At 41.6% G+C, this 27,542-nt stretch overlaps 2 protein-coding genes and 1 long non-coding RNA gene across 12 annotated transcripts in view, besides 5 other annotated features; 1 reads left to right on the top strand and 2 right to left on the bottom strand.

Moving 5' to 3' along the window:
• The window catches only part of TGFBRAP1 (transforming growth factor beta receptor associated protein 1), an 80,332-nt gene extending 72,276 nt beyond the window's left edge, over positions 1-8,056 (bottom strand). For all 3 annotated transcript variants that reach the window (NM_001328646.3, NM_001142621.3, NM_004257.6), the window contains exon 1: positions 7,946-8,056. The gene's annotated coding sequence lies outside the window, so the exon portion shown is untranslated. The remainder of the gene's footprint in view (positions 1-7,945) is intronic.
• Positions 895-1,054: an enhancer, noted in NCBI's record as "active region_16313". NCBI's record gives its function as "activates an Ori minimal core promoter by ATAC-STARR-seq in GM12878 lymphoblastoid cells {active_cell/tissue: GM12878}" and the evidence as "EXISTENCE:reporter gene assay evidence [ECO:0000049][PMID:35858748]".
• Positions 3,173-3,467: an enhancer, noted in NCBI's record as "tiled region #6730; HepG2 Activating non-DNase unmatched - State 14:Gen5'". NCBI's record gives its function as "activates a minimal TATA promoter and a strong SV40 promoter by Sharpr-MPRA in HepG2 cells {active_cell/tissue: HepG2}" and the evidence as "EXISTENCE:reporter gene assay evidence [ECO:0000049][PMID:27701403]".
• Positions 7,941-8,370: a silencer, noted in NCBI's record as "silent region_11837". NCBI's record gives its function as "represses an Ori minimal core promoter by ATAC-STARR-seq in GM12878 lymphoblastoid cells {active_cell/tissue: GM12878}" and the evidence as "EXISTENCE:reporter gene assay evidence [ECO:0000049][PMID:35858748]".
• C2orf49-DT (C2orf49 divergent transcript) lies at positions 9,850-15,814 on the bottom strand. Its single transcript, NR_187479.1, has 2 exons — positions 13,480-15,814; positions 9,850-13,389 (listed from the first exon to the last, which is right to left on the bottom strand). It is a non-coding gene; the product is annotated as a C2orf49 divergent transcript (long non-coding RNA).
• Positions 15,504-15,893: an enhancer, noted in NCBI's record as "active region_16314". NCBI's record gives its function as "activates an Ori minimal core promoter by ATAC-STARR-seq in GM12878 lymphoblastoid cells {active_cell/tissue: GM12878}" and the evidence as "EXISTENCE:reporter gene assay evidence [ECO:0000049][PMID:35858748]".
• Positions 15,861-27,542, top strand: part of C2orf49 (chromosome 2 open reading frame 49) — a 48,360-nt gene continuing 36,678 nt past the window's right edge. For 3 of the 8 annotated variants that reach the window (XR_007081586.1, XM_017004892.3, XM_024453136.2), the window contains exons 1-5: positions 15,861-16,007; positions 17,904-18,070; positions 21,169-21,295; positions 21,422-21,544; positions 23,636-23,710. Coding sequence is in view for 6 of the 8 variants with exons in the window: in XM_017004892.3 (XP_016860381.2) it covers positions 15,909-16,007; positions 17,904-18,070; positions 21,169-21,295; positions 21,422-21,544; positions 23,636-23,692 (573 nt within the window). In the remaining 2 variants the exon portion in view is untranslated. Of the gene's footprint in view, positions 16,008-17,903; positions 18,071-21,168; positions 21,545-23,635; positions 27,533-27,542 lie in introns of those variants that run through there. The other 5 variants (XR_007081585.1, XM_047445805.1, XM_024453135.2 and 2 more) reach the window with 3 other exon arrangements.
• Positions 15,904-15,953: an enhancer, noted in NCBI's record as "active region_16315". NCBI's record gives its function as "activates an Ori minimal core promoter by ATAC-STARR-seq in GM12878 lymphoblastoid cells {active_cell/tissue: GM12878}" and the evidence as "EXISTENCE:reporter gene assay evidence [ECO:0000049][PMID:35858748]".

The raw sequence follows: 27,542 nt of genomic DNA on the forward strand, positions 1-27,542 counted from the left end.
CATCTACAACAGTGGTCCCATAAGGTTATAATGGAGTTGAACAATTCCTATCACCTAGTGACAATCTAACTGTTGGAACATTGTAGCAAAATGCATCACTCATGTGTGGTGTTGCTGGCGTACACTAACCTACTGCAGTGCCAGTCGTTGAAAAGTCTAGCACATTCAATTACATACAGTATGTAGTACTTGATATAATAATAAATGACTATGTTACTGGTTTATGTATTTACTCCACTACACTTTTTATCATTATTTTAGAGCGTACACCTACTTATGCAGGAAAAAATAAGTTAATTGTAAAACAGTCCTTCAGGAGGACTCCAGAAGAAGAAATTGTTATCACAGACAACAGCTCCACACATGTTACTGCCCCCGAAGACCTTCCAGTGGGACAAGATGTGGAGGTGGATGACAGGGATAAGGATGATCCTGACCCTGTGCAGGCCAAGGCTAATGTGTGTGTGTTTGTGTCTTCATTTTTAACCAAAAAGTTTAAAGAAAAAAAAAGAAAGAAAAAACTTATAGAATAAGCATATAAAGAAAATATTTTTGTACAGCTATACAACATGTTTTCAGCTACATGTTATTACAAAGAGTGAAAAACTTTTAAAGAAGTTTATAAAGTCAAAAAGTTACAGTAAGCTCATTTATTACTGAAGAGAAGTATTTTTAGAATAAATTTAGTGTAGCCTAAGTGTACAATATTTACAAAGTCTATGGTACTGTACAGTAATGTTTTAGGCCTTCACTTTCACTTGCCACTTACTCACTGACTCACCCAGAGAAACTTCCAGTCCTGCGAGCTCCATTCACAGTAAGTGCCCCATACAGGTGGACCCTTTTTTTAGTATTTTATACAGTATTTCTACTATCCCTTTTCTGTGTTTAGATGTGTTCAGATACACACATACTTTGGTGTTACAAGATTCTCTTGTGCTTAGAGATTCAGGACAGTAGCATGCTGTATAGGTTTGCACCCTAGGAACAATAGGCCATACCCATATAGCTTAGGGTATGAAGCTATACAGGTGTATAATACACTGTACCATCCAGGTTTGTGTAATTCACTCTATGATGTTCATATGATGACAAAATTGCCCCATGGGAGATTTCTCAGACCATAACCTAGTCATTAACTGATGCATGACTGTATATCATATATTAGCTCTAAAAACCAAACCTATAAGTGAACTGACAAAAGTTGCCATAGATCCTAACAGCCTTTGAGACGGATGGGGGGCAGACAGAGCTTGGCACACTTCAGCCGTTCACAGCTCCCAATCAACCAGTCAGGATGCTGGTGCCATATAATTAGGAGAGAAAGCTAAATCACCGAGGACTCAGCCAAAAGCAAACCATGGTGGTGAGGAGGAAGGTGAAGGAAAAGGGTGGTATGCAACACAGTGGGACACCTTGCCTTATTCCCCATGTTTTTTGAGGCTGGTCCTGAGAAGTTTAAGAGAGAAAGACTCAGAAGCATGCATTGGAGGCCAGTTTTCTTGTGGTCCCAGTGATGGTGGCTCTTGTGACGCCTGGATGAGGAGGGAGAGCCTGGAAAAGTCAGGTGGTGACTTCAGTAGAGGGGGCGGGGGGATGTGCTGACACCCACCTCTGGCTTTGTCAGCTTCCTGAAACAGAAACAGCGTGGGCAGCTGCCAAGGGACCTGCTGCTCAGCCTCTATCTCTGCGACCCCTTGGGACTCAGTGCAAACTCAGACCTTCCTATCTCCCTTTGGCACAGGCACCAACCTCATGCCCATTCTTCCTCTCCTGACCATCATATCGTGGGTATTGAGCAGGACAGGCAGGTATGACTGGACACTTTTTTTTGCAGGCAGCAGGGAGTGAAGGCTTGAAAACCTCTATTTCCCATGCTGCATTCCTGACTGAATGAAGAGCCAAATCACAGCCTCAAAATTCTATATTGGGTGAGAAAAGGCAAACCTTGCCAGCAATATTCTCCCACTGCAAGCTACCTTCAGATGCAGTGTTTGTGCTAAATGAGTGAAATGAGATGTCAACAAAAGTCCCTACTAGAAAACAAACTGCCAAACACCTCCAATTCCCATGGGGGGTTTGATAGGCTCTCTGACAATCACTGAAGTCCCATCTGAAAAATGCATTTTGGTAGGTTTACGGGTTGACTTAAAGTCTTGAGATACTGATGTGGTTTTCTTAAATGTGTTGTTTCTATAGATTGTGAAGGTGATTGTCAGAGAGCATCTCGAATCCCCCATGGGAATTGGAGGAGTTTAGATAAATCCAAACTGAGGGATGGTCTACAAAATCTCTCACACCCTTTCAAGTGTGTTAAGGTCACGAAAAAAGAGGAAAGGCTGAGGAACTGTCACAGATTAGAAGCCAAGAATAAGTGACAATTAAATGCAAAGTGGGGAAACTGGATCAGAAAAAGGATCCTGGAACAGAAAAAAGACATTAAGCAGAAAAACGGGTGAAATTCAAATACTGTGTGCACTTTATAGTGGTATACTAGCACTAATTGATTCATTTTGATCATTATACTACAGCCATACAAGACGTTAACAAAAGAGGAAGCTGGGTAAAGTGTATTCATGAATTCTGCACTATTTTGCAACTCTTAGGTAAGTCCAAAATTACTTCAAATTTTAAAATGAAAATGTAATCGTGGTATATTGGGTAATTATCTCACCTTAGAGTGATCAAGAAATAGAAAAGAAACCTGGGAATCTCCTTTTCTAGCAGGAAAGGAAACAGTCATAAGACTGTGTCAGTGACTAAAAAGGACAAGCATGAACCAATACCCATCAGTCCAGCCCAGGACTGCGCTAGCACACTCTGGGCTACTGGAGCCTTTTTTATTGAGCCACTTTTAGAGGTGATTTTTCTCCAGCCAAGTGTCCTCGCTTAAAATTACAAGCATGAATAATACCCATAAGTTAAAAGTTTTTTTTTCCTTCTGAAAATGCATTTCAGAGGAGAGTTTGGGAGTTTTACTCATTTGGAGTCTTTCCCCTGACAGAGGGGCTGAGATTGGGTTGGGGTGAATGTGAGCTGACTCCTGCTGTGTTCAGAATTGGATATACCATGAGCTTTGGGAGAAGCAGTTAAGTGGGGGACTCTGAGGGTGGACACTCAGGCTGGGAAGGAGCACAGCCCCTCAGTAATAAGGATCAAGGCCCCAGAGCGAAACTGGGCCACCCCGGCAGTGAACTGTGGTAAATGTGGGCACGCTGCATAGCAGACATTCCCGACATTAATCTGGGAATCCTGAGCTCTGCTTGTTGCTTGGTCACTTCCTGATGATCTTAGGCAACTCACTAAGAGGCTTTGTCTGGGCCTGTGTTCTCTATAAAACAGAAATTTGGACTGGGCTGTGTGCTTCTCCTATACCATTCTCCAGCTACTTCTGGATGAAGAGGAAGGGAATGGAGGTCTTGAAAGGTGGAAGAGTCATGCTGGTAAGTAGAGAGCTGGGATTCCAACCCAGGTAGTCAGCTCCAAAGCACACATCCTTAATCAGATGCCACACTGGCTCCCAAGGCCAATGCTGCCCCAAGCCTGGATGATGGATGGCACCCATAGGCTGCAGCCCTGGCTGACACCCTGACTGCCCCCTCAGGAGAGCCCCAAAACTGGGTTTGGTGGGATACTGCACACTCGATATAGCATTATCCTTTCGTTCTTACCTTGACGCTGAGAGGTGGACATTATTATGGAGATACAGAGATCTTAGGTGGCTTGCTCAAGGTTACCTGGCTACAAGGTGATGAAACAGGGCTTTGACCCTAGTTTTTGTTCGTGACTCCAAGGCCATATTCTTATTGATTGAGGGGAACAAGTATGATTTCAGATCCTCTCCTAGAATTCAGTTCTGAACAAAGCAACAACTCTCAGCAGGAGGCCACTATGGTACTTAGAGTGGCATGCTGCTGCAGTTCCTGAGGAGTCTTTGCTATTGCTTCCCCACCGTGAGTCTAGAAGAGGAATCCTGTGGCTCTATCTGCTTGCTGAAATTCAGACACAGAATAGTATGTTGACACAGTTCTCTACTAACATAGTAATCTACCAAAACAGGATACACATTTATGTGACAGCAACTGCTTTTCCTGAGCTGCACCCCATGCTGGTCCCGTGTTCTTCTCTAAGTCCCACAGCCATCTGTTGAATGACTCAATCTTGAAATTTGTCAGGAATCAACAATAAATTTACTGGCTTGTACAAAAGTCAACTTTTCCCCCCTTTGAAAATGAAGATACTGCTTGACAACCATTTTATGTTATCTTTTGCACTCATGCAACAGAGACAGCAAGATTAGTTATAGTGCAATGAACCTGCTCTGATAATCTGCAAGAGTATCTAAAAAAAGAGGATTAAAAAAAGACAGTTAAGGTCTAATATCTAACTTGTCATCTTAATATTATCATGATGTATATTTAATATATGTAACTATTCATAGTTGGTATCCTTTTTACTGGGCAATACTAATCAAAATTATTTAAATACATATAAACATATATTTATATACACACACATATATACACATACTATATATGGTGTGTGTATACATACATATGCATAAGGGTGTATGTGTGTGTGTATGTACATATATATAATATACATCCTATAAGAGTACCATCAGCAGTTAGAATTAAAAGGGTTTAGGAAGAGAAGTGGGAGGTAGAAGAAGAGCAGAATAGAAATATGGCATTTACTTCATAACATCTTCCTCAATACTGAACCTTCAAACAGCCACAAAAAATTATCGAGTACTGGCCAGGAGCAGTGGCTCATGCCTATAATCCCAGCACTTCGGGAGGCCGAGGCAGATGGATTGCTTGAGCTTAGGAGTTCAAAACCAACCTGGGCAACATGGTGAAACTCTGTCTCTATAGAAGAATACAAAAATTAGCCGGGCATGGTGGCATGTGCCTATAGCCCCAACTACTTGGGAGGCTAAAGTGGAAGGATCACTTGAGCCTGGAAGATGGAGGTTGCAGTGAGCCGAGAACACGACACTGTACTGTAGCCTGGGTGACAGGGTGAGACCCTGTCTCAAAAAAAGAAAAAAAAAATTATTGAGTACCTACAGGACTTGATAGTCCATAATATCCAGTCAGTTGTCATCTTTAAATATGTGATTTTTTCCTTAAATCTTTAACTTTTTCAACAGCAGTTACTTGACTATCAAGAAAAGATCTTGATTTCAAATCATCTGCAAGATTTCATAATTCACTTTTCATGAGGCACTTAAAGTCATTTGGGGTAGCACCAAATTAAGTTGTTACTCTACATTCATTTAGTAGGTATTTATTTTTTTAAATAAAGAAAAACGAGTCAGGTTTGCTACAGAGATGAGTTGTAAAGTCTGAGCCAAATTATTCGGCAGTATCCAAACACCTGGCTGCCACAAATGACTACTTTAATGTATTTCTAATGAGGGCTGGATTCAGACCAAGATGAAGACACTTAACCCATTAAGTAAAATTTCTTCAAGTTTTCTTAAAAGATCACAAATTTGTAATATTAGCATGAAGGAATAAGCCAAATAACTTCATTTTTTTTTTCCTAACAGAAATGTTAGCTGCATATCAGACCCAGAAAATACAGCAAGTTTTTTGGCTGGGCGCAGCGGCTCAGGTCTGTAATCCCAGCACTTTGGGAGGCCAAGACAGGAGGATTGCTTGAGGCCAGGAGTTTGAGAACAGCCTGGGCAACACAGGGAGACCCCTATCTCTACAAAAAAAATTTTTTAAATTATCTGGGTGTGGTAGTGCGAGCCTGTGGTCCCAGCTACTTGAGAGGCTGAGGTGGGAGGATCCCTTGAGTCTGGGAGATCAAGACTGCAGTGAGCCATGGTCACACCACTGCACTCCAGCCTGGGTGACAGAGCAAGACCCTGTCTCAAAAACAACAGCAAAAAAACCACCCAGAAGACAACAACAAAAAGAAAATATAGCATTTTTAAAATAGTGAGCTCTATGCTTTTAAAACTCCTCAACTGGAGCTGCCTAAATGAAGAATGGGCCCTTTACAAATCCCTGTCTCTGGAGGGTTTAAGCTGAGGTTAGATTGGTCCTGGGATTCCTGCAGTGGTGAAAACGCTCTGCCTCCAATGCTATGACAAGAGGACTGCCATGCACAATCATGAGTGTAGAAGAAAAGGCAGAGTGAATGAAGGCTAACAGTGGCACCTCACCTCTCACCCAATTCAATTGTGTAATGCAAACCTTGATGCACATAGCAAATTGGAATTCAGAACCCACAAGTCTAACTCCAGAGTAAATCATTTGTTAGGTTAACAATTACTCAAAACATAAAACTACATATTTTCAGAGCTGAGGGAGACCTGGCTCTACATCCTCATTTATATTTGTCAGCAATAATTTATTGAGCACCTACTAAATGCCAGACCCTGTGCCGGATCCTTTCCAGGCACAATTTCTTATTAGAATTCATGTGCCTTTTCTAATATTATCCCTATTTTGATGGAGGAATTTGAGACTCAGAATGTCCAGCAAATTGCCCAAAGGTCACAGGAAATGGCAGAGGCAGGATTTGAACCCACACTCCACATTCATTACCACCACAGAGCATCACTCCCATTTCATAGATGACCTGGGGCAGGCTAGTTATGGACAGGTTCCAGCAGATTCCAGCCAGTAGACTTTCTAGTACTCCAGGCAGCGTTTTGCTACACATCACAGAAGCAGCTGCAATGACTGTTGAGGCTGCTCGGCTGGCAGAAATGGAAGGAAAAAGAAAAGGAAGCAGCTGACCAAATGTTCCTTCTGACTGACCATGGAACTGCGAGCTCTCAGTTGTCTGCCAGCTTCCGGCTGACCAACAGAGAGAAGCATGTCCACCATGAGAGAGTAGCAGCCACCACACAGTCCCTCTACATTCGTTCATCCTGACTCCAACCAAGCCAACACACACAACGCAGTAGGATCTTCCCTGCACACCTTCTCAGTGCCTTAACTTGCCACCACAATCACACCCGCAGCTGCCTTCCTTCCTGATAGACAAGGTGCTTGCCCATGAGCACTTCATCAGTGATTAAACTCTGCTCAGACATGTTTTGACCACAGCTGCGCGTGCAGTCCACGTGCAGTAAGGCCTGCTGTGTGATCTGTGAGCCCCCATTTTTAGCAGCCAGGTAGGAGGCTTCCTGAGGGTCACTCAACAGTCCTTGGGTAGAAGCCACGGCAGGTGCAGACAACCGGACAGCTTCCGTGTTTAAGGATATCAACACTTAACACAGGGAGGCAGGCGGACTAACTTGCACCTGCACCTCCAGAAGGCAATGGAAAGAAAACAATTCCACAGGGATGACAGCTTCCAGCCCTTGACCTGGTGCTAAAAACAGGGGCCAGGAAGCCCAGCACAGCACTTTTCCCTACTCCCCAACACACCCCTGCCTACTCTCCAGATCAGGACAATTCAGGCCTGAGTGTGACCCGAATTTGAGCTCTCAAATCCAAAGAGCTCCCAGAAACCTCAATCACAGCGCCAAAACCATTCCATACCAGGGATGGAGGTGCAAGTCCTTCCTGGCCCTTCTCCCCGGAAAACCCAAATCAAGGACGAGGTCTCTCAGGTCTTCCCTTGCCCTAAACACACACGCACTCCTCACACACAACATACACACTTGACCCCACACCCGTGCACACTTCATCCCACACACACGTGAACACTTATTTGCTCACCCCAGCAGGCTAGCCGGCCCCCACAAGGGACAGCTACCAAGTCGCACACCCGCACACCTGCCCCCAAGTGTATAGCCACTTGCTCCCCCCACCCCGCGTTCCAGCCCCCACTACACCTGCCCCAGCGCACACGCACGGGCTCGCCCTCCACCCCGCCCCGCCGCCTACCCCCCACTCCTGCTCCCCGCCCTCCTGCCCCACGCGCCCCGCGCCCTGAGCCCCGCACCCCGCGCCCCGCCGCCCTCCTCACTCACCGGCGCCGGCGCCCGCCGTCCCGCGCCGCCCCGCGGCCTGGGGCCCCGCCGCCCCGCTCCGGCCCGCGGCTCCTGGGCTGGCCCGACCCCGCAGCCGCCGCTTCCCGTCACGTGGGGCGGCCGCCAGGCGCTGGCGGAGGGCGGGAGCGCAGCCGTCTCCGCGCCGCCCGCCGGCCCGCGGGCCCTGCCGCCTGGCTCCGAGCACAGGCCGAGACGGGCCCTGCTCCGGGCCTCGGCGTCCCCCTCCGTGCACCGGGGCCACGACACGGCCCGCCTCGCGGGGCGGCCAGCGGGCGGAAGGTGTTCATTCGGGGGGCGCTGAGGCCGCCGGCCCCGGGCGAGAGCGTGGTCCGCGCCAGCTGTGCGAGCCCGCGGGGCTGAGGTCTCTTCTCCGCCCCCGCCGCTGCGGGGAGCTTCAGGGAAGCCGGGCTTTGCCTGGCTCGCTCGCCACCCAGTTTCTGTCACCTACACAGGAGGAGGGCGCCCGGGAAATACCTGCTGCGTGAATGAATAAATGAATGAAATGCTTGGGCCCTGGGAAATGCTTGGGCCCGCGGCCGCCTGACCACGCGGGCTGGAGGATCGGACGTACCGCCGGTGCCCCACCAGGAGACGAAGGCATGGTTGGGATGCGCAGCCCTCCCACGAGGCCCATGGCGCCCCAGGGCCCTAGGGATTGACCGGGACCCCCGACTGGCAGAGTCCACCTGCTTGATACACTTATTTGAGAAGGGAGGCCTGGGACTATCTTACTCCTTTTAGGAAAACCCAACTGTAGCTGCTATTCCTTTGGTTCAGGCCGCAAGGAAGAATTGTAGGTTACCATGAATCCATGAACCCCTCTTTAGTATACAAAGTCCACTTTCATGACGGAAGAATTGGAAAGCTCCCTCCAGAGTTGTCAGTACTCAATTATTAGCATATAAAAAGTCAAATTTTCCCAGGGATTTTCAGACTTTAGAACCTGCTAGTGACCTGTGGCCTCAGCTTTCTTCCAGCCACTCTGAGTATTGTAAAACAAAGATATTATCCCAACCCTGAAGGCAGATACCAGATTGTACGCCATGGTCTTCTGTTTCAAAGGGATAAAAAAAGAAAGAAAAGAAACTGGCCAAAAAAAAAAAAAAAAAAAAAAAACCCAACAATCTTCCTGTGACTTGCCCTCTACCCCTACCCTAGTGTGACTCATGGCCACATAAATGCCCCATCCCCAGTGGTGCTTCAGCTGTGACCCAGTGGAACCAGTGTCACCGGCTCAGCCTCCAGGTAGGGGACTGGCTTCCCAGGAGTGTAAAGCTCTGACCAGCAATTGAGCTTCAAGGGCAAGCAGCAGTGAATGGACCTTCAAGTCTAAGGTGGCCAACAGCTAGTGGAGCCAGGGATTGGGAAGGTACAAGAGCAAATCCAGTCTCTTCATTTTACCCAGGCTCACAGAGACTATGTGACTTGTCATCAACTAATCACTGGCTCAGGTGGTCCTAGAATTCACCCTTGTGCTTTTGTATCTTAGTCCTCTACCAGATCACATCACAGAGAGCTGCACAAGACTAGTTACAGAGGTGATATCTACTGACTGCCAGACAGTGACTTCAGAAACTGCTAGTGACTGAGCAATGAAGTAGACGCTATTAATTTACTTAATAGCGTCAAAGAATAAATTTAATTCTTTGAGGCAAAGAAAGGTGAATGACTTCCTGTGTTAATTCACTTAGGAAAATATAAATAAAAAAATTTAAAAAGGTGACTTGTCCCAAACCCCATGCTAGTAAGAAAGAGCAACAATAAGAATCCAGAATTCAGCAACAGTAATTCTTTTTATATAAAGTTGTTTTGAATGAATAGTTTATGAACAATCTTTGTGTTCTACTTTAGATGATCCAGGAGTGAAAATGTATAACAAGAGATAATTCAGATATATTTATTTTATGAAAGGATTTATTACAGGATTCTTACAATGGCAAGCTCCATATTATTCCATCTAGAAACATCTGTTCCTTCTGAAACTTGATGAGAAGTCTGTGTCACAAATGACAGGCACCTCCATGTAAATGCCTGTACCATAAATGTGCAAATATATGCACAGGCCAAATTCCTTATGTTGTTTCTATTGGTTACATTTAAGAAGAAATATCAACCATATGGCTTTCAAAACAATTATTAACTTCATTTTTAAATATTTATTAAATATTCCTTGGGCCCATACCGAGCGTTACTTTACAGAATGTGAAAAAGATGTGCTCCGATGAGAACAATTAATGAAGACTGAGTTGCATCGATATAACTGAATATTTTCATAGTTGCTGTCTACTCTCAAAACTTAGTATTTTTATGCTTACACATACTCTGTGCTTCTCACTTTCTCGCTGGGTATACGCTTGGGAGGGCAAGGATTGTGTCTATGCTCTCTGCTGTATCTTTCTGCATGTAGAAAACACTCAACCAATTTTTAAAAATTCTTGATGCTCAATATTGAAATATTAACTAGATTACTTTTTTTTTTTTTTTTTAGACAGTCTCTTTTGCCCAGGCTGGAGTGCAGTGGTACAATCTTCTCAGCTCACTGCAACCTCTACCTCCCAGGTTCAAGCAATTCTCCTGCCTCAGCCTCCTAAGTATCTGCGACTACAGGCATGCACCACCACGCAGGGCTAATTTTTGTATTTTTAGTAGAGACAGGGTTTTACCATATTGAACAGGTTGGTCTTGAACTCCTGACCTCAAGTGATCCACCCACCTCGGCTTCCCAAGGTGCTGGGATTACAGGCATGAGCAACCACATCCAGCCTTTAGTACTAAGATTCCATTATTCTAATATATAAGCTATTTAAGAGCACACATGTAGGATGGTTGGTGTCATTTTAGAATATAAGCAAAGAAAGGTTACATTTTTTATTTTTTTTAAAGCAACAGCTTACTATGTGCCATGTTTTAAGAGCTTTTACATGTAATAGCTCATTTAATCACATATACACACACATTCATATACTTGTAATCTAGCTTCAGTAAAATAAACTTTTTTGAACTATTGTTCAATCAACTACTTCTTTAGCAGCTCCTATGTGCCAGGTACTATGCCAGAGGCTTCAGCAGATACTGAAATGAGGAAGACAGTCTCTACCCTCAAGAGTTTAATGGGCAATGGTTTATAAGGTAGAGTTGGTAGCCAGCAGTATCAACATCACCTCTGGACTTGTTAGAAATGCAAATTTTGGTGTCCCCATCCCAAACCTCCTAAATCAGAAACTCTGGGGTTAGGACCCAGCAAACTATTTTTACAACCCCTCCAGAGGATTCTAATGGGCACACAATTTTGAGGACCACTGGATTAGTGTGGTATGTGCAAGAAAAACCCACCTAACGAGATCATAAGGCAAAAAATAATGTGCTCTAGAAGTTTGGTGATAGTGGAGCTCAGTTGGGAAGTATCTGAGGATGGGGAAAGGTTCATTCATCTGTATTCATTCAGCACACACTTACTGTTCTTGTGCTGTTGTAGCAGGCACTGAGAACCCAAAGATGAAAGGTAACCTATGAGTGCTGTCATCATCTGAATGTGTACCTCCAAAATTTGTATGTTGAAACCTAACCCTCAAGGTGATGGTATTTGGAAGTGGGGCCTCTAGGAGGTAATTCTATCATAAGTGTGGAAACTTCATGAATTATTGCCCTTATAAAAGAAGCCTAAGAGAGCCTGTTGCCCCATCCACCATGTGAGGACACAACGAGAAGGTGCCATCTCTGATGAATGGATCTTCACTACACACAATCTGCCAGCACCTTGATCTTGGACTTCCCAGCCTCCAGAATTGAGAGAAATGCATTCTGTTGTTTATAAACTACTCAGTGTATGGTATTTTGTTATAACAACTTGAAATGACTAAGACAATGGATTTAAAAGCAAGCTAGTAGTTTAACTGTTCTAAATAGCTAACAACACAGGTCCAAAATGTGAAATGTTGCTTAAATTATTACCTTCACATTGAAGCTCCTTTATGCTCATGTGTATGTATATACTATATATATACATTTTTTTTTTTGAGGCGTCTTGCTCTGTCCCCTAGAGTGCAGTGGTGCGATCTTGGTTCACTGCAACCTCTACCTCCCGGGTTCAAGCGATTCTCCTGCCTCAGCCTCCTGAGTAGCTGGGATTACAGTCACCCACAACCATGCCCAGTTAACTTTTGTTTTTTTTTAGTGGAGATGGGGTTTTACCATGTTGGCCAGTCTGGTCTCGAACTCCTGACCTCAAGTGATCCACCCACCTCAGCCTCCTAAAGGGCTGGGATTACAAGTGTGAGCCACCACGCCCAGCCTGTTCAAGTATATTTTTGATACAATATTTTGATACAATATTTATAACATATTTATAACATATCTTAACTATTACATTATCAACAAGAATCAACACCAAGAGTCCTCAGTATATATTTTGTTCATCATGCATTCATTCCACAAACATTTACTGAGCACTTACTAAGTACAAGCACTGTGCAGGCTAATGGCTAAGTGAGGGATTCTAAGAAAATGTACGGACCCTGTCCCAGAGGAACTCACAATCTAGTGAGGTGACAATGCCAGGCATTGCAGTGTTTGTTGGTTCCCCACAGCTTTGTTCTTGTCAACTATAGTCACCAAATAAAAATGTTAGTGAATAAAACCTCAGGATCTTTGAGTGAAGCAACAATCCTTATAGTTAGCTTAAAATGTTGAGTGCGTTATGGTTACAGATGATAGTGTAGCGGGAGTAACCTTAGGCCTGCAAACTCAAATGTGTAACAAAGATAATTTTTTTTTCTGTAACTGAAATGTATTTCTATTTGAAGCCTCCATTTACCTGCAGTGACAATAATCTTATCAACAGGAGGCCCTCCTCCTTTCTTTCAATTTGAAACCTCCATTTATCTGCAGTGATATTCTTATCAACGGGAGGCCCGGCCCTTTCTCCAGGGCTTTGTCAAGATTGGGGAGACTTCTGAAGTGCCAAGATGAGAAGAGAGAGACCTTAGGTCCTTGTGTCACTGGTCCCCACACAAGTTCAGAGATGTTCTTTGTCCACTGTAGTGTTGGTTTTCAGTCTTTTGGTTTCAGGCTTGAGGGTTAGAGATGTCTGTGACTTCAATTCCCATGTGGTATGGCAGAATTCTCTGTGAGGCAGCCCTTCTGCCTGGACATACTTGAAGCATCACCTCAGAACTTGTTAGAAATGCAAATTATAAGGCCTCCCCATCAACCTCCTAAATCAGAAAGTCAGCAGACTGCAAATTCTCCAATGTTCCATGCTACAAATGTTCTGCCCAGGAAGGAGTGGGCAGGCATCACCACTCTCTCCTTCCCTTGGAGGAGAGACGGTATGTGAATCTCATTCTAGTTCCTCCTCTCTTAATCTTGATTTTTTTTCCTCAGATGACAATCCTTCCATCTCAAGAGTTCTGCTTCAGAGTCACCTAGAATAATATTAATAGAATTAGTTATAAGCAAGGAAGTACTCTTAGTTTTAAACTGGGAAGTACTGGAAGAAAAAAAAGACATCTTACCTGCCACAAAACATTTTTGCAGATGAAGTTTAAGGCTTCAGGTTAGGCGATGGGTTCAGAAAACCACAGAGAGGAAAAGCATAGCAAGAACCTGTAACCACTTTTTCAGACTATTAAACTCAAGGTTCTTCCCACTTATGCCATCATCCTGCCACTTTTTTCCTTTGATGACAATCAATAGGATACAAGAACTCTCCAAGGAGAGCCCACAGAGGAGGCATTTTACACACTTGAGCTCCAATCCTCACAACACTGTGAGATGGCTTATAATTTCCATCTCAGAAGGGAGGAAGCTACAGCTAAAGAGAGAATGTATGTCCTAGGTGAGTAAAGAAGCCAAGGTTATAATACAACTGAGCTACTCCAAAGCCTGCCCTTTTCTCTAAACTGCCTTCTATGACCCATAACTTTGTAAAAATCAGCTACCAGTTCTTAAACACTTACTGTGTCAAGTGTGTTTATAATCTCCATAATCTCCACTCCTTTGATCATTCTTCACAGAAAGTGCTAACACAGCATTTTCCTGATGAGGGGACTGAGGCTGAGAAACTAACTCACCCAAGGTTTTGGTGCAACAAGAGTAAAACTTGAAATGAAGTCAGGTTTCTAGCCCCGGATTCTCCCAAGGTAGCTGCTTTTGATACTAAAACAATGTGCCTCCCGGTGAAGGAAATGGGGATAATACTAATCACACTTATTTCTCTATTGTAATGAAAATCAAATCAGATTTGAGAGATATGGAATATGATGATGTTAATACTATGACGCTAATACATTTAACTCCAATTTAAGACATTCAGACGCCTGCCTCAGCTCAGATTTAAGACTATTCAATTTTGGGCAAGTCATTTAATCTCTTTCTGATCAGCTTTCTTGGCACTAACATGAAAGAACTGGACTAACTTTTAAGTTCCCTCCCAGCTCTGAAATTCAGTTTCTAGACATAAAGTATTACATACATAAATGAGTAAGAAAAATTGGGAAACACTTCTCAGCTTTATCTTTTTGAGGAGCTCACTTCTAGTACTCTTTCACGGTTTATCTTTTGGCATCTTCAGAGTTCTTCATATTTTTGTAGACAATGCAATAATTTCCAATAAAATGATACCTCATAGAGGATGCATACAATAAACATTCAGAACATACCTGCAAGTTTTATTTTTTATTTATTTTTTCAGACATGGTCCCATTCTGCCGCTCAGGCTGAAGTGCAGTGTGGTAATCCTAACTGCAGGCTGGAATTGCTGGGCGCCAGTGATCCTACCACCTCAGCCTCCCGAGTAGCTAGTACTACAGAGACACTACCATGCCCGGTTAATTTTTTTTTTATTTTTTGTAGATACGGGGTCTTACTATGTGGCCCAGGCTGGCCTGGAACTCCTGGACTCAAGCAATCCTCCCACCTGAGCCTCCCAAAACGCCGTGATTACAGGCATAAGCCACCATACCCAAGTTTAAGTTTTAAATGTGCAAAATATTTAGGGATATGTATCTCTCCCATGAATGATGAAAGAGAAGCAGAAAATATTTCTTAGTAAGTGAATTACTGGGAATTAAGACTATGATTGATACCTACAGCAATTTAAAAAGTTACTTCATTGTACCTATTAATACATGCAGAAAAAAATGTACTTGGATTTTATGCTTGCTACTTCCTCGCTCTTGAGTAAATTATCCTTTCTATGCATCAGTTTCCTCATCTGAAAAATAGGCATTCTAGTAATATATACCTCATTAGGCTGTTCTGAGGAATGTGATAATACACGTAAAATGCAGTCCCTGGCACACTGTAAATGTCTAACAAACGTTTGGCGGCTATTACTGGCGTTTCCCAGCCCGTTATTATTTTTTACATGTGAGCAAGTTAATTCAGAGGATTACTTCAAGAAACAAATACTTGAATACCTATCTGTCCAAGCAGCCGGGGTTACAGGGAATTCACTACATAAAGCCTCTGGTCTTACATTATATAGAAAGGCGATGAAGAGACAAGAAACAGGTTAAACAGAAAAACACGATAATTTCACACATAACCACTGCCATATTTAAAGCACTGTACACCGGCCCTCGGAGCCAGAATTCTTTCCCTCGAGGTTGCCCCAGGAATCCCTTTGACCTCTGCCATTGGACGTCACAGAAGGCGCGACTAATCGTGGCTGGCTCCCGGAGCTTCACTCTTCCCTCTCTTCCTGCGAAACTTGACACGCCATTTGTTTCTACGTCTGACATCCTCCTCTTTTCTCTGGTCCGTGGGAGCTTTTGCAAGCGGGACCAGGCCCCAACACCCGAACCAGCAGCGAGAGAAGGAGCCCGGCATGCGGCGACTCAGAGTGACGACACACGCGAGTCTCCGCCCGAGTACGTCACTTCCGCAACGCTTCCTTCGCGGGGCTTTGTGGGTAGCCGACTGGGGTCTCCTGGCGACGACCATGGCGGGGGATGTGGGCGGTCGCAGCTGCACGGACTCGGAACTGCTGCTGCACCCGGAGCTGCTGTCCCAGGAGTTCCTTCTCCTCACTCTGGAGCAGGTTGGGCGCGCCGGATCGGAGGGTGGGCGGGTGGGCCTTCCCAGGTGAGGCGCTTGCACCCGAGCTTGCCTTAAGTAGCCCTCGGCAACCACGGACACTCCCGCCGGGTTTGTGTCACTCTCCACCCACACAGACCAGGCAGCTGTCTCCTCGCTCCTGCTCCTCGCCCCCTCTCCAAAAATGAGACGTCCGTAGAATATCAGGAATGCTTGGGAAATAGGGCTTATCTATCTGAGTCCCGATGGCTTGTAAAGAGGAGTCCCAGGCGACACCCCCTGCCTGTGTGTAAGCCCCGACCTGAGGAAGAAAGAAGCGTGGAATAGACATGGAATGTAGAAATCATGGACTGTCAGGACTGGAAAGCATCTGAGAAACCGTCCATTCCACACCTTCTAATCGTTTAAAGATGATAAAAACAGTTCCAGAGAGATGAAGTGACTTGTTTAAGGTCACAACATCTGTAAATGGTACTTCCGGGAGGAGAATTCAGGGCTCCTGGCTCTCCATGTAGTGCGTGCTCTTTTCCAGCTGGTGTGGCCTCTGATAATAGGAGAAAAGTGAGAAAGGAAAAAAGTGATGTTTTAAGTGATAGAGAATTACTGGAAGTTTCCTTGGGGTTTATGTAGCGTATTTTGTTGTTTTTCATATGGCTTTCCCCTTAGTACCCTATCTTTGTTGAATTTCAGGTCCTCTTGCCACGTAGAGCTTAATTATGTCAGTAAGTTTTTACCTGTGGTTCTCAAACTTTTTAGGTACTTAAGAATGAGTCGAGGGACTTGCTAAAACACAGATTGTTGGGCTCCGTCCTCAGTTTCTCGTTCAGTAGTTCCGGAATGTGGCCCGAAATCTTGCATTTTTAACGAGCTTGTTGCTGGCCCAGAAAGCATGCTTTGACCACCACTGTCCTAAGGCAATACTTTCCAAAGTAATGGGCTTATGAATTCTCTGGGAACGTTGTCCAAGAGAATCCTGGTAGTTTCCCCTACTTCTGAGCGAGTACGGGCTAAAAATAGATGAGTCTAATATACGAAAGAGAAGTAAAATGTGCTTTTATTAGTTTTTGTTAGAGGATATAGGCTTGTCGGTGGTACTAAACACAAATGTTTTCAAGCCTTTCTGAGTTGAAATTGAAGAGCCTGTGATCTCATTTCCATTCTCATTTCTCCTTCTTAAATCCAAACTCTGTCTTCATGACTACTCCTGTGCTTATGCTATGTTTTTCATGATGTCAAGAACAAATTGGAAAATGAGGAAGAATTTGGTGATTTAGATAGAGATGGTTGGACAATGACTGGAAGCTTACTTGAAAGGACCAGTGAAAATGGGGTGCAGGCTTTTCTAATGATGTACTGCTACTGTCGTCAGTACGGGAATAACAGTTTCTATTTGTGGTATTATTTGAAATCTTGGTAGTTAACTTCAATTTAGGAAGCACCAGATTAGAGAAGCACGAGAAATATAAGACAGACTGAGACCTTCATCCCACTAATCTGATCATGATAGTAACACTCAAGGTAGCTTATTGACAGAATGTGGTGATTGTTAATCATTGTTAGCTTTCTTTTGTCAACAGGCAGTCTCCCATTTTCAATCCCCTTTGTATATTAAGATAATTTTACTGGAAATGATCTTTCATGCTTGGTGTGTTGGCTGAGCAGTTGTGGACAGCAATCCCTGTCACACTGAGAAAATATGACCATTGTTTTTAAGATGAGGCTGAACCTAGTATCTACAGAATTTAACCTTTAACACTGTCTCTAAGTGCGCGTGTTATTGTGAAAATGGCTTTTTATAATTTGTTATTTAAGCAGTAATGTTTTACCATGTTAGGTAAGGTGGTTACTTGTTAAAATTAAAAACATTGTTTTGAAATTACTTTTGTTTCCTTTCCCGCAGAAGAACATAGCTGTTGAAACTGATGTAAGAGTAAACAAAGACAGTCTTACTGACCTTTATGTCCAACATGCAATACCATTGCCTCAGAGGGATTTGCCGAAGAATAGATGGGGGAAAATGATGGAAAAGAAAAGAGAACAACATGAGATTAAAAATGAGACTAAAAGGTACTTTTTGGTGGTTCTAGCTTTCAATTTATCTTATATAACTAAAGTTATATATAAGTTATTGATTTTTCCTGAGATAAACTTAAGTAAAAAATTTATTTACTCAATGACTATCTATTGAGCACCAGGCACTGTGCGTATAGCAGTGAATAAAACTGACAAAATTCCCTGCTCATATTTTTGATGGGAGAAACATAACAACAGTTAAAATATGGTATTGTTATATAGTAATAAAGGCCAGGGAGAAAGATTACAATTTTTGGTAAATTATCCAGGAAGATCTTAGTGAAAAATGACATTTTAGTAGAGAGACCTGTAGGAAGAAGAAAACAAGCTAGGATTCCAGGCAGAATACAAGAGGCTGGATCTGGAATGTGCCCATCATATACCAGGAACAACAAAGCAGCTATCAGGGCTGGATGGAGAAGTAGGAAGAACGAGTTGTACTGGGGGCAAACGGGAGAGATTGTCAGATCATGTAAAGCTTTGTAAGTCATTGTAAGGACTTTGGCTGTACTCAGATGAGAAGCCACTAGAAGGTTTTAAGCAGAGTGGTGACATCATTAGATGTACATTTTGACAAGATGACTCTGGCTGCTGTCCTAAGAAGTGATTTAAGGTGTGTGGGGAGGGGAAGCGGTGTGTATAAGACTGGAAGCAGGGAAACAAATTAGAAGCCTGTACTGTAATCCAGGCAATAGATGGCAGCAGCTTTGACTACAATAGTAAATTTGGTGGGTTGGAGCATGCATGTATTTTGAAGATAGAGCCAATAGGATTTCCTGAATTTTGAGGAAAAAGTCAAGTCAGGTAAAACTCTAAGGTCTTTGAATAATACACAAATGAAGGGCCTGTTAACTAGCTTAAGTTATGCTATTTAAAATTATTTAATTTCAAAAACAGTTTTATAAAACCACAAGCAAGTGATTTTTTCTTTTTTAAAGAAAATTACATTTGATTAATCAGTGTTGTTGATTGGTTAATAAGTACAAAGTGTCCTAAGATCCTTAAGTGAACTCTTCTGTGTCTATTATATCTCAAGTGGATACTATTGATCAATTAATTTTTTTTTAGGGCCTTCTATTTGTAAGGCACCGTCATAGGCAATCCACTAGAAGCAGTGAGAGAAGACAGAGTAGGAGGGTAGGGGTAAAGGGGAGTATGTTCCTCTGAGTTTTAATCTCTGTTTTACAAAGAAAAATTTAATGATTGAGATTATTCTCCAATTATGAAGAATAGTCGAAGAATACATGTCTGCTCATTGTCTTTTGGAAAATACACACACAGTCTGACCTTTGATCAAGAATGCATTTTAGATTGACCATTTTAGCTTGATGGTTACTTTACTTACTAGTACAGACTATGTAGTGGTGTTAACTTTCATAAATATGGGTTACACTGCATATGGCTTTTAATTTACTTTTGCTGTTATTCAGCCAGTATTTTCCTCTTGATCAGCACATTCAGGCATATTGTTCTAGTAAGCAAAACTTTATGTGCCAGTCATACTTTCCTTTGAAGCAATCTTTGTACAACTGTCTTGATTAGTCCCCCAAAATCATTTTGGAAAGGATCTTTGACTCTATTTTTTAAATACACAATTGAATCAGAGCATTAAAACTGGAAGGATCCAAGAGATCATCTTGTATTGTTGAACTACTTATTATTTTATCTGTGGAGGAACTGAGATCCTGAGAAGTGCTGTAACATGCCCAAGGTCACACAGAGCTAGGACCAGGTCCATAGCAACATAGCCCTGTGCTTCTCAAACTTTAATGTGCTTCTTGAATCTTAGATTAAGCAAGCTGTCAAACCCTGCTCTCAGTCCCTGTTTCCCTTCTACAAAGGCAGTGGGTATACAGTGAGCTTACTTCTCATTTTCTACCAAATGATGTTCAGTGATGACCCAAGAATTGTTGAGTTTGGCCAACTGCTAGAAATCTGGTTAAAAGGTGAGTTCTGATGTATTCAGGTTGATGCCCCAGATTCTCCATTTCTTACAAGCTCCTAAGATACTGACTGACGTTGCTGTGCTGGTGCTGCTGGTCCCTGGATCACACTTTGAGTGGCAGGGCTAAAATGTTCTTCCTGATAACTGGCTATCTCAGATTCTTTTAACATGTTTAATTAAAAGGGTTTTTTTTTGGGCCAAGAGCAGTGGCTCACGCCTGTAATCCCAGCATGTTGGGAGGCGGGCGGATTACCCTGAGGTCAGGAGTTCAAGACCAGCCTGGCCAACATGGTGAAACCCCGTCTCTACTAAAAATACAAAAATTAGCTGGGCACTGTGGCATGCACCTGTATCCCAGCTATTCGGGAGGCTGAGGCAGGAGAGTCACTTGAACCTGGGAGGCAGAGGTTGCAGTGAGCCGAGATCGCGCCATCGCACGCCACCCTGGGCAACAAGAGCGCAACTCCGTCTCAAAAATAAATTTTTTTTCAATTCATCTGTGAGATAGGTGATATAGATATTATCTGAGGTATAATAAGTAATAAACAAATGAATGCTTTCCTTATTAACCTTTACTATTAAGAGTGGAAATTAGATTTCCAGAAGGTAAGTATGAGACACTTGCCAGATTTTACAATTGAACTTGTACAAATGTCCAGTTACGATTAGTTTAGAAAATGTCTTGGCTTTAGAGACCTTTGCTGAATGGAGTAGAATGCTGTGCCCCATTTGTAGATTGCTGCTGTGGTAGTCTTGGTATAGTTTTATAGTTTATCATCCTTTTAAAATAATAACTGATTACATGGTTAAGATAACCCTATCAATAAGCTGGTGTTTGTTTTTTAACTAGGAAATCTCATTTTAAGTTCCAGGGCTAGATGGTTAATTGATGTTTTAAAAATAGCTGCATGTTGTGTATACATGAAAGCTAACTTTGAATTTCTTGTACATAAATATTTTAAACTTTGAAATAAAACACTAGGAAATTCTTTCATTTAGAATGAACATAGAAAATTTCATTTTTAATAGTCTCAGATTAGTCTTATCAGAAAATCTTTTTGTTTACTGCTTATTTTAACTTGAATCCCAGTGAACTGGTTTGCCGTTCCAGATGGTATTTTTCAAGAGTGCATCTCTTTGATTTCAGGAGTAGCACTGTAGATGGGTTAAGGAAAAGACCCCTCATCGTATTTGATGGAAGTTCAACAAGTACAAGCATAAAAGTGAAAAAGACAGAGAATGGAGATAATGATCGACTGAAGCCTCCCCCGCAGGCAAGCTTTACCAGTAATGCCTTTAGAAAATTATCAAATTCCTCTTCGAGTGTTTCACCCCTAATTTTGTCTTCCAATTTGCCTGTGAACAATAAAACGGAACACAATAATAATGACGCTAAACAGAACCATGACTTAACGCATAGGAAAAGTCCTTCAGGCCCTGTGAAGTCGCCACCATTGTCCCCTGTTGGAACTACTCCAGTGAAGTTAAAGAGAGCTGCTCCTAAAGAAGAGGCAGAGGCCATGGTAAGTATGGGGGTGGTTTCCATGCTGGTAAGTGGTCTGAATGAAACTTGAGCAGTCTGCCTCATGACGGGAGGTGGGTCGACTGTGCTACATTCTGTTCTTGAACCCTTTTGATGGTCTGTCTGATTTGTATAATACAACTTATTACTCCAGTACTTGAATCCTGGAATTTAAAAATCCATGGTGATTAATGTTTTTAAAAGTTCACTCAAGTTATTTCTGCTTAAAATACGTAGAGAGAGGATCTGTTAGGCAGTTTTCCTAGATTTTTCTCATTTAGTTCCTTTAACTGTCTTGGAACTAAAACAGATAAATATTCCTTTATTAGCAAGGTTTAGAACATTAAGTAATTTGTCCAGGGTCACACATTTATTAAGTAGCATTTGGGGCCTGACCTTAAGTCTGTCTGTTTGTGCATACCTTAAAACCACACCAGACACCAGAATCTTTTTAAGATTTACCACTTGCCTCGCCTACTGCTCAATTTACCTAGCTTTGTGGGGATAGCAGAAGTTGGGGAAATCTATTATGTTGTGCTCCACTATGTTGAATCATTTGGATGCTTGTTGGCACATTTAGTGCAGTTAACACAATGTATTAGAGTTTAATTTGTGAGATGATTTATATATATATAATATAAAATATATATAGGCGCTTCAGAAAAGTGCTTTTACTTTTAAATACCTAGTAGTTTAATAGCCATTATTCTGTAGAATACTTTGCCTTTATTATTATTATCATCTAATCATGTATCAAAGGGATCAAAACTCAGAAAATTCAAACATTCTAAAATAGTAGACTGGAAAAAGAAAACCACCTGACTGGTCATGAGTTTTTTACTTTTATTAGTTCATTGAATCCTTTCAGTAACTATGAAGTAGGCATCTTCGTTATTCCTATTTCACAGATAAGGAAACAGAAACTTAGTAAATTTAAATAAGTTTGTCCAGAATTCCAGAGTTATTAGTAAGCCACCAGGCTGCGATTTGAATTTAGGTTTGTTTGATCCCAGGGCACACACTTTGGAGGCCATGCTTCGTCCATACTCCTTTCAGCTACCTTTGTGGGAGAGAGGAGGAAGGTGTGGGATAAGAGTTAGAACAATAAAGCCACATCTCAAATATTGCCATAAGGAGTAAGCCTCAGAGAATTTTTTTTTTCCAGGCTCTTAAACAGCATTTCTCTACCCTACAAAATTTTACTGTTTTATAGATATGAGATATATATATATATAGAGAGAGAGAGTGTGAGAGAGCTATATGTGAAACACTAAGGATAAAAGATTCTTTTTTATGTAGGGCCCACATATAAATCTTTTTCTTCTTATTAACATTTCCCATTGACTTTGTGTTTTTGTTGTGTTGTTTGTTTTTTGAGACAGAGTCTTGCTCTGTCTCCCAGGCTGGAGTACAGTGGTGAGATATCAGCTCACTACAACCTCCGCCTCCCAGGTTCAAGCAATCCTCCTGCCTCAGCCTCCCGAGTAGCTAGGATTATAGGCGCCTGCCACCACACCCAGCTAATTTTTTTTTTTTTTATTTTTGTAGAGACAGGGTTTCACCAAACCTGTTGGCCAGGCTGGTCTCAAACTCCTGACCTCAAGTGATCCACCTGACTCGGCTGGGATTACAGACGTGAGCCACCTGCCCAGCCTATTTGCATTGACTTTGGATTGTTAAATTGTAAAGTTGATGGAGGAGATAGGCTGGACAGGGAGAAAGCAGATCTGGAGCAGTCAGTGGTTTTCAACTCTGATTGTATGTTAACATCACTTGAGGAGCTTCCAAAAAAAGCAAAAAGAAGTCAGAGCCTTATCCCCCTACCTTTTATGGATTCTGGTTTAATTGGTTCTGTGATAAGACCAGGCCTGGGGCATGTTTTTAAGTGCTCTAAGTTATTCTAAACTACACACATTTGAGAACCACAGAGCTAGAGAACTCACCCCTGTTTCTTTAAATATATTCCCACCAGATGGCAGCAGTGATCTTCCATTAATACATTAATAGTAAACCTTGGTTGTTTGAAATGTTCATTTTAGTTGTTTTCTGATATTTCTGCAAGTATAAACTGATTTCTGTTCATGTCTTTCAGAATAACCTGAAGCCCCCACAAGCAAAAAGGAAGATACAACATGTTACTTGGCCCTGAAGAAAAGTTTCCAAAAATGTAAATATACTGTAACTGTAGTTTTTCAAATATGTTCATATATATTGACAATATTTACAGAAATCCTGATTATTGTGGAATTTTCTTAAGAGGTTTCAAATAGGTTTAAAAAAATAAAGGATTTATTTTCCTTCCCTTCTTCCCTCCCTCCCTTCCTTTTTTAAAATTCTTGCCTGTCTTGCCCTGATTAGGAAAGAATATCTTTTTAAACCAATGGCTTAGTATATGTCATTTATATTGACCCTACTGAAATTATTAGCTACAAATGTGCTATAAAGCATCCATTGAATTGGCCAGGCGCAGTGGCTCACGCCTATAATCCCAGCACTTTGAGAGACTGAGGTGGGCAGATCACCTGAGGTCAGGAGTTTGAGACCAGCCTGACCAACATGGAGAAACCCCGTCTCTACTAAAAAATACAAAATTAGCTGGGCATAGTGGTGCATGCCTGTAATCCCAGCTATTCAGGAGGCTGAGACAGGAGAATCGCTTGAACCTGAGAGGCGGAGGTTGCGGGGAGCCAAGATCGCACCATTGCACTCCAGCCTGGGCAACAAGAGCGAAACTCCATCTCAAAAAAAAAAAAGCATTCAGTGAATTTTCGGAGTTACTCTCATTAGCCTTGTTCAGAGTCTTTGGGGGAAATTTGAGATTTTTGAGATTTTTTTTAAAAACTCAAATATTTTACTAGTTTGCCTGCCATTTTATTTCTTTTACAAAGCAGAAGCATATACCAATTTATCACAGTATTTTAGTAAATACTGCAACATTCATCCTTAAATGTTCACCAAGAAAAGCATCTTTGTAGTAGTGCTGGAAAACTATTCAGAATATACAGATAAAAATGCTGTTCTTTAATTGCTTACATTGCTTCTTCCCATAAAAAGCAAAAAGGAATCAGTGCTTGCTATTGCTCCTTTCCTTGAAGTTGTAACAATTGATACATATATTATGAGTTGACTGGTCGATTCTGTACCTGGCCCATCCTTTAGAATGTTCTTGTCATGTAGCAGTCCTACGTACTCTTTTCATGAGCAGTCTGTGATCTCACTCTGTGAGTTCAGCTATTACTCGCTCGTGGGAGCTTAATCTTTTCAAAATGAAGTTGATTTAAAAAGTCTTCAGGCAGAGTAATCATGTTAGAGGTGGTATTCGATGGAAGAAAGTTTAGAGAGTTAGGAGTGGGGGTAGAATTCTAGAATTTATAAGAGTCCAGGAAGCATAGCAGTCAGGGGCAAAAATTAGCGTAATATGGAGTAGGCAATAGAGGAGCTACTGGAGTCAGAAGTCACTGCAGAGTGCAACATAGGAAGATGGACTCCTAGCTTACATGAGATTCCCTGCAGCTGTAATATAGACAATTCCCACATGGCTGTTCTACACAGAATTACCTGCTAAGATTTTTTGTTTATTTTTGTTTGAGTGGTATTTTCACTCCAATTGTATAATGGAAATCAGTGGGAAAATAGGGTTTACCTTATATTCATGAGTTCTAGTTTCTACTGTTCTGCTATGTGTTTCTAAGCAAGAGCAAAGGATACTTCATACTTTTTTCGTTATATGATTGATCTTCAAATTGGGATTTACCTTTTTCAATATGTTTTAAAGTAGTCTTATTCCTCTTTTGATTTGTTAAACAAGCATTTTAGTTCAGCTATTGAATAGCCTTCCAAAAAATTAATTCAGCCTTGCAGGTAAGTACCATACTAAGACTTTAACCCAATAGTTTTTAATCATTCTGCCTTTATTCCAAACTGTAAATCTGTACACATAAGATAAAACATACTAAGTATTGCATAAATTGTTAACGTTACAGTAAATTGTTATCTGCAGGGCTGACAGACATAATGTTGGTGGGCAACTGTGATCCTATACATACATATATGCAAAAGGGGATTTTAAAAGTGCAGATTATAGAGTAGATTGACAAATTTTATTTTATATTCAGTTGTCCTCTCTGCTTCCATCTGTGTTGCTCTCTTAGTTGAGAGAGAGTTAGCCATTTGACGATTTTAAGTCAGTGGGAACTTATTTTTAGTTACTCAATAAAATTAATATTTTATTTGTATTTTAACTTACAGAGTAGGTTGGTAATAACAGCTGAACTGTGTAACATTGTTGCTTCAAATTGAAGTTTATATTATGAACATTCAGAATCAATGCTCATGTAGCAGCATATTATTGAGCTATTTTGAGTTTGAAATGTGGAGAAACGCTAAACCATGTACTATGTGTTAACATAATCCCACCTTCTTAGAGCTTTGTTCCTTCTGAAGGTGTATAGATACAGCTTGTCTTGAAATGTCTTTCTCCACATAATGAAGCATGCTGAATGCTGGGAATCTGGAGCAGCAGCCCTGGGAGCCCTGAGTTTTGAAGTGTTTTGGTTTGCTTCAAAGGTTAGAAGAACTTGATATGTATGGCAAACAACTTTAGAATACTAGTTACTCACTAACATGAGGCGGGTAATGTTGCTCTAGATTCTATATTCCAGTAAAGCCAGCTTTTCTTATTATTGGAGTAGGCAAATGAATGGCATTAGAATTAGTGGGTGGCTTGTAAGTTGTAGTTATAGGCACTTTACCACTTCCTGCCATTAGCAGGCATCCTTGTTTTTTCTTTTCCCTCTTTGTTCCTTCTTTTCCCTTTCTCCTTATACATTTTCTTTCTCTACTTTAATTCTCCTTCCTCCTTACTGTAGATCCCAAGCTTCTAGCTTAGGTTTGCAAGTCATATTGCTTGGCCCTCCACATTCACTGAGAGGTGAAGATAGGCTGACCCCCTGTCCTCTTACATTTGAGGGATCATAGACTGCTGTGTGAATTCTGGAAAGTCTCAGGTCCCTACCAGGGCACTGAATGGCTTCTCAATGGCTGTAGAGACAGTACAGTTTTCCAAAGCAGCCTAATTCATCTGGACAGCTACCAGGCACTTTGGAAAGTTGGTTCAGTTACTACTATGAGGCCATAATATATTTGCTGGTATTAAAATTCTTCAGAATTGGAATTACTATTTGAAATAATATTTTGGTTGACTTAAGTTTTGAGAGACAATTCTAAAATTGATCTAGAGACTCATTCAATAGCAATGTGACCTTTTAAATACTTACATTAAGTAAAACTGCCAGTAGATTAAATCATATATATATATATATATATATATATATATGTAAGAGCTTCCTCTATTTACTACTGTTGAACTTCAGTAATTTTTAGAGGCTAAATAATGGTCAGAATGTTTTTAAGTGTGCTCTTTTATTACATGCTTGTGCAGGTTTTGTAATTCAGTACAGAAAAGTTTAACCTTGTACATTTTTGTATGTAAAAAGTCTTTTAAGTAGTCTTATCCTTATTTAAATAAACAGAATAAAATTACCTTGAGTAGGTCTGTTATTCTTATTAAAATGGAAAAATGCTCTGTAATGACTTGATCTGTTTTTATTTGAGTGAACAATTTTGGAAAGTATTCTTTATAGTACAACTTTCTATACCTGGATTGATTAAGATCAGATGTGATTCGAGTAGTCCAGCCATATCTTGTAGCCCTTCTTTGAATGAGAGGGTGGCTGGAGTGGTCTGGTGCTGGGATATCACGGTGCTACAGAGCCTGACATGTTGACTGTCACTACATGTTGAGGGATGGAAATAGAAGTCTCTGAACTTCCCATGTAATATTAAAGCTCTTAACAAAATGAGACAAACTAGAGATTCAGTTGAGAGATTTTATGTTAGAGTGATCTGAAAAAAAGTTAATTTCTAAACTGCTATCTTAATATTATTATATTTGGAGACTGATGCTGTAAATTAAATAACTTGGAAAAGACTCAGGTAAC

This window comes from Homo sapiens, chromosome 2 (assembly GCF_000001405.40).
Source record: "Homo sapiens chromosome 2, GRCh38.p14 Primary Assembly".
NCBI lineage: Eukaryota > Metazoa > Chordata > Mammalia > Primates > Hominidae > Homo > Homo sapiens.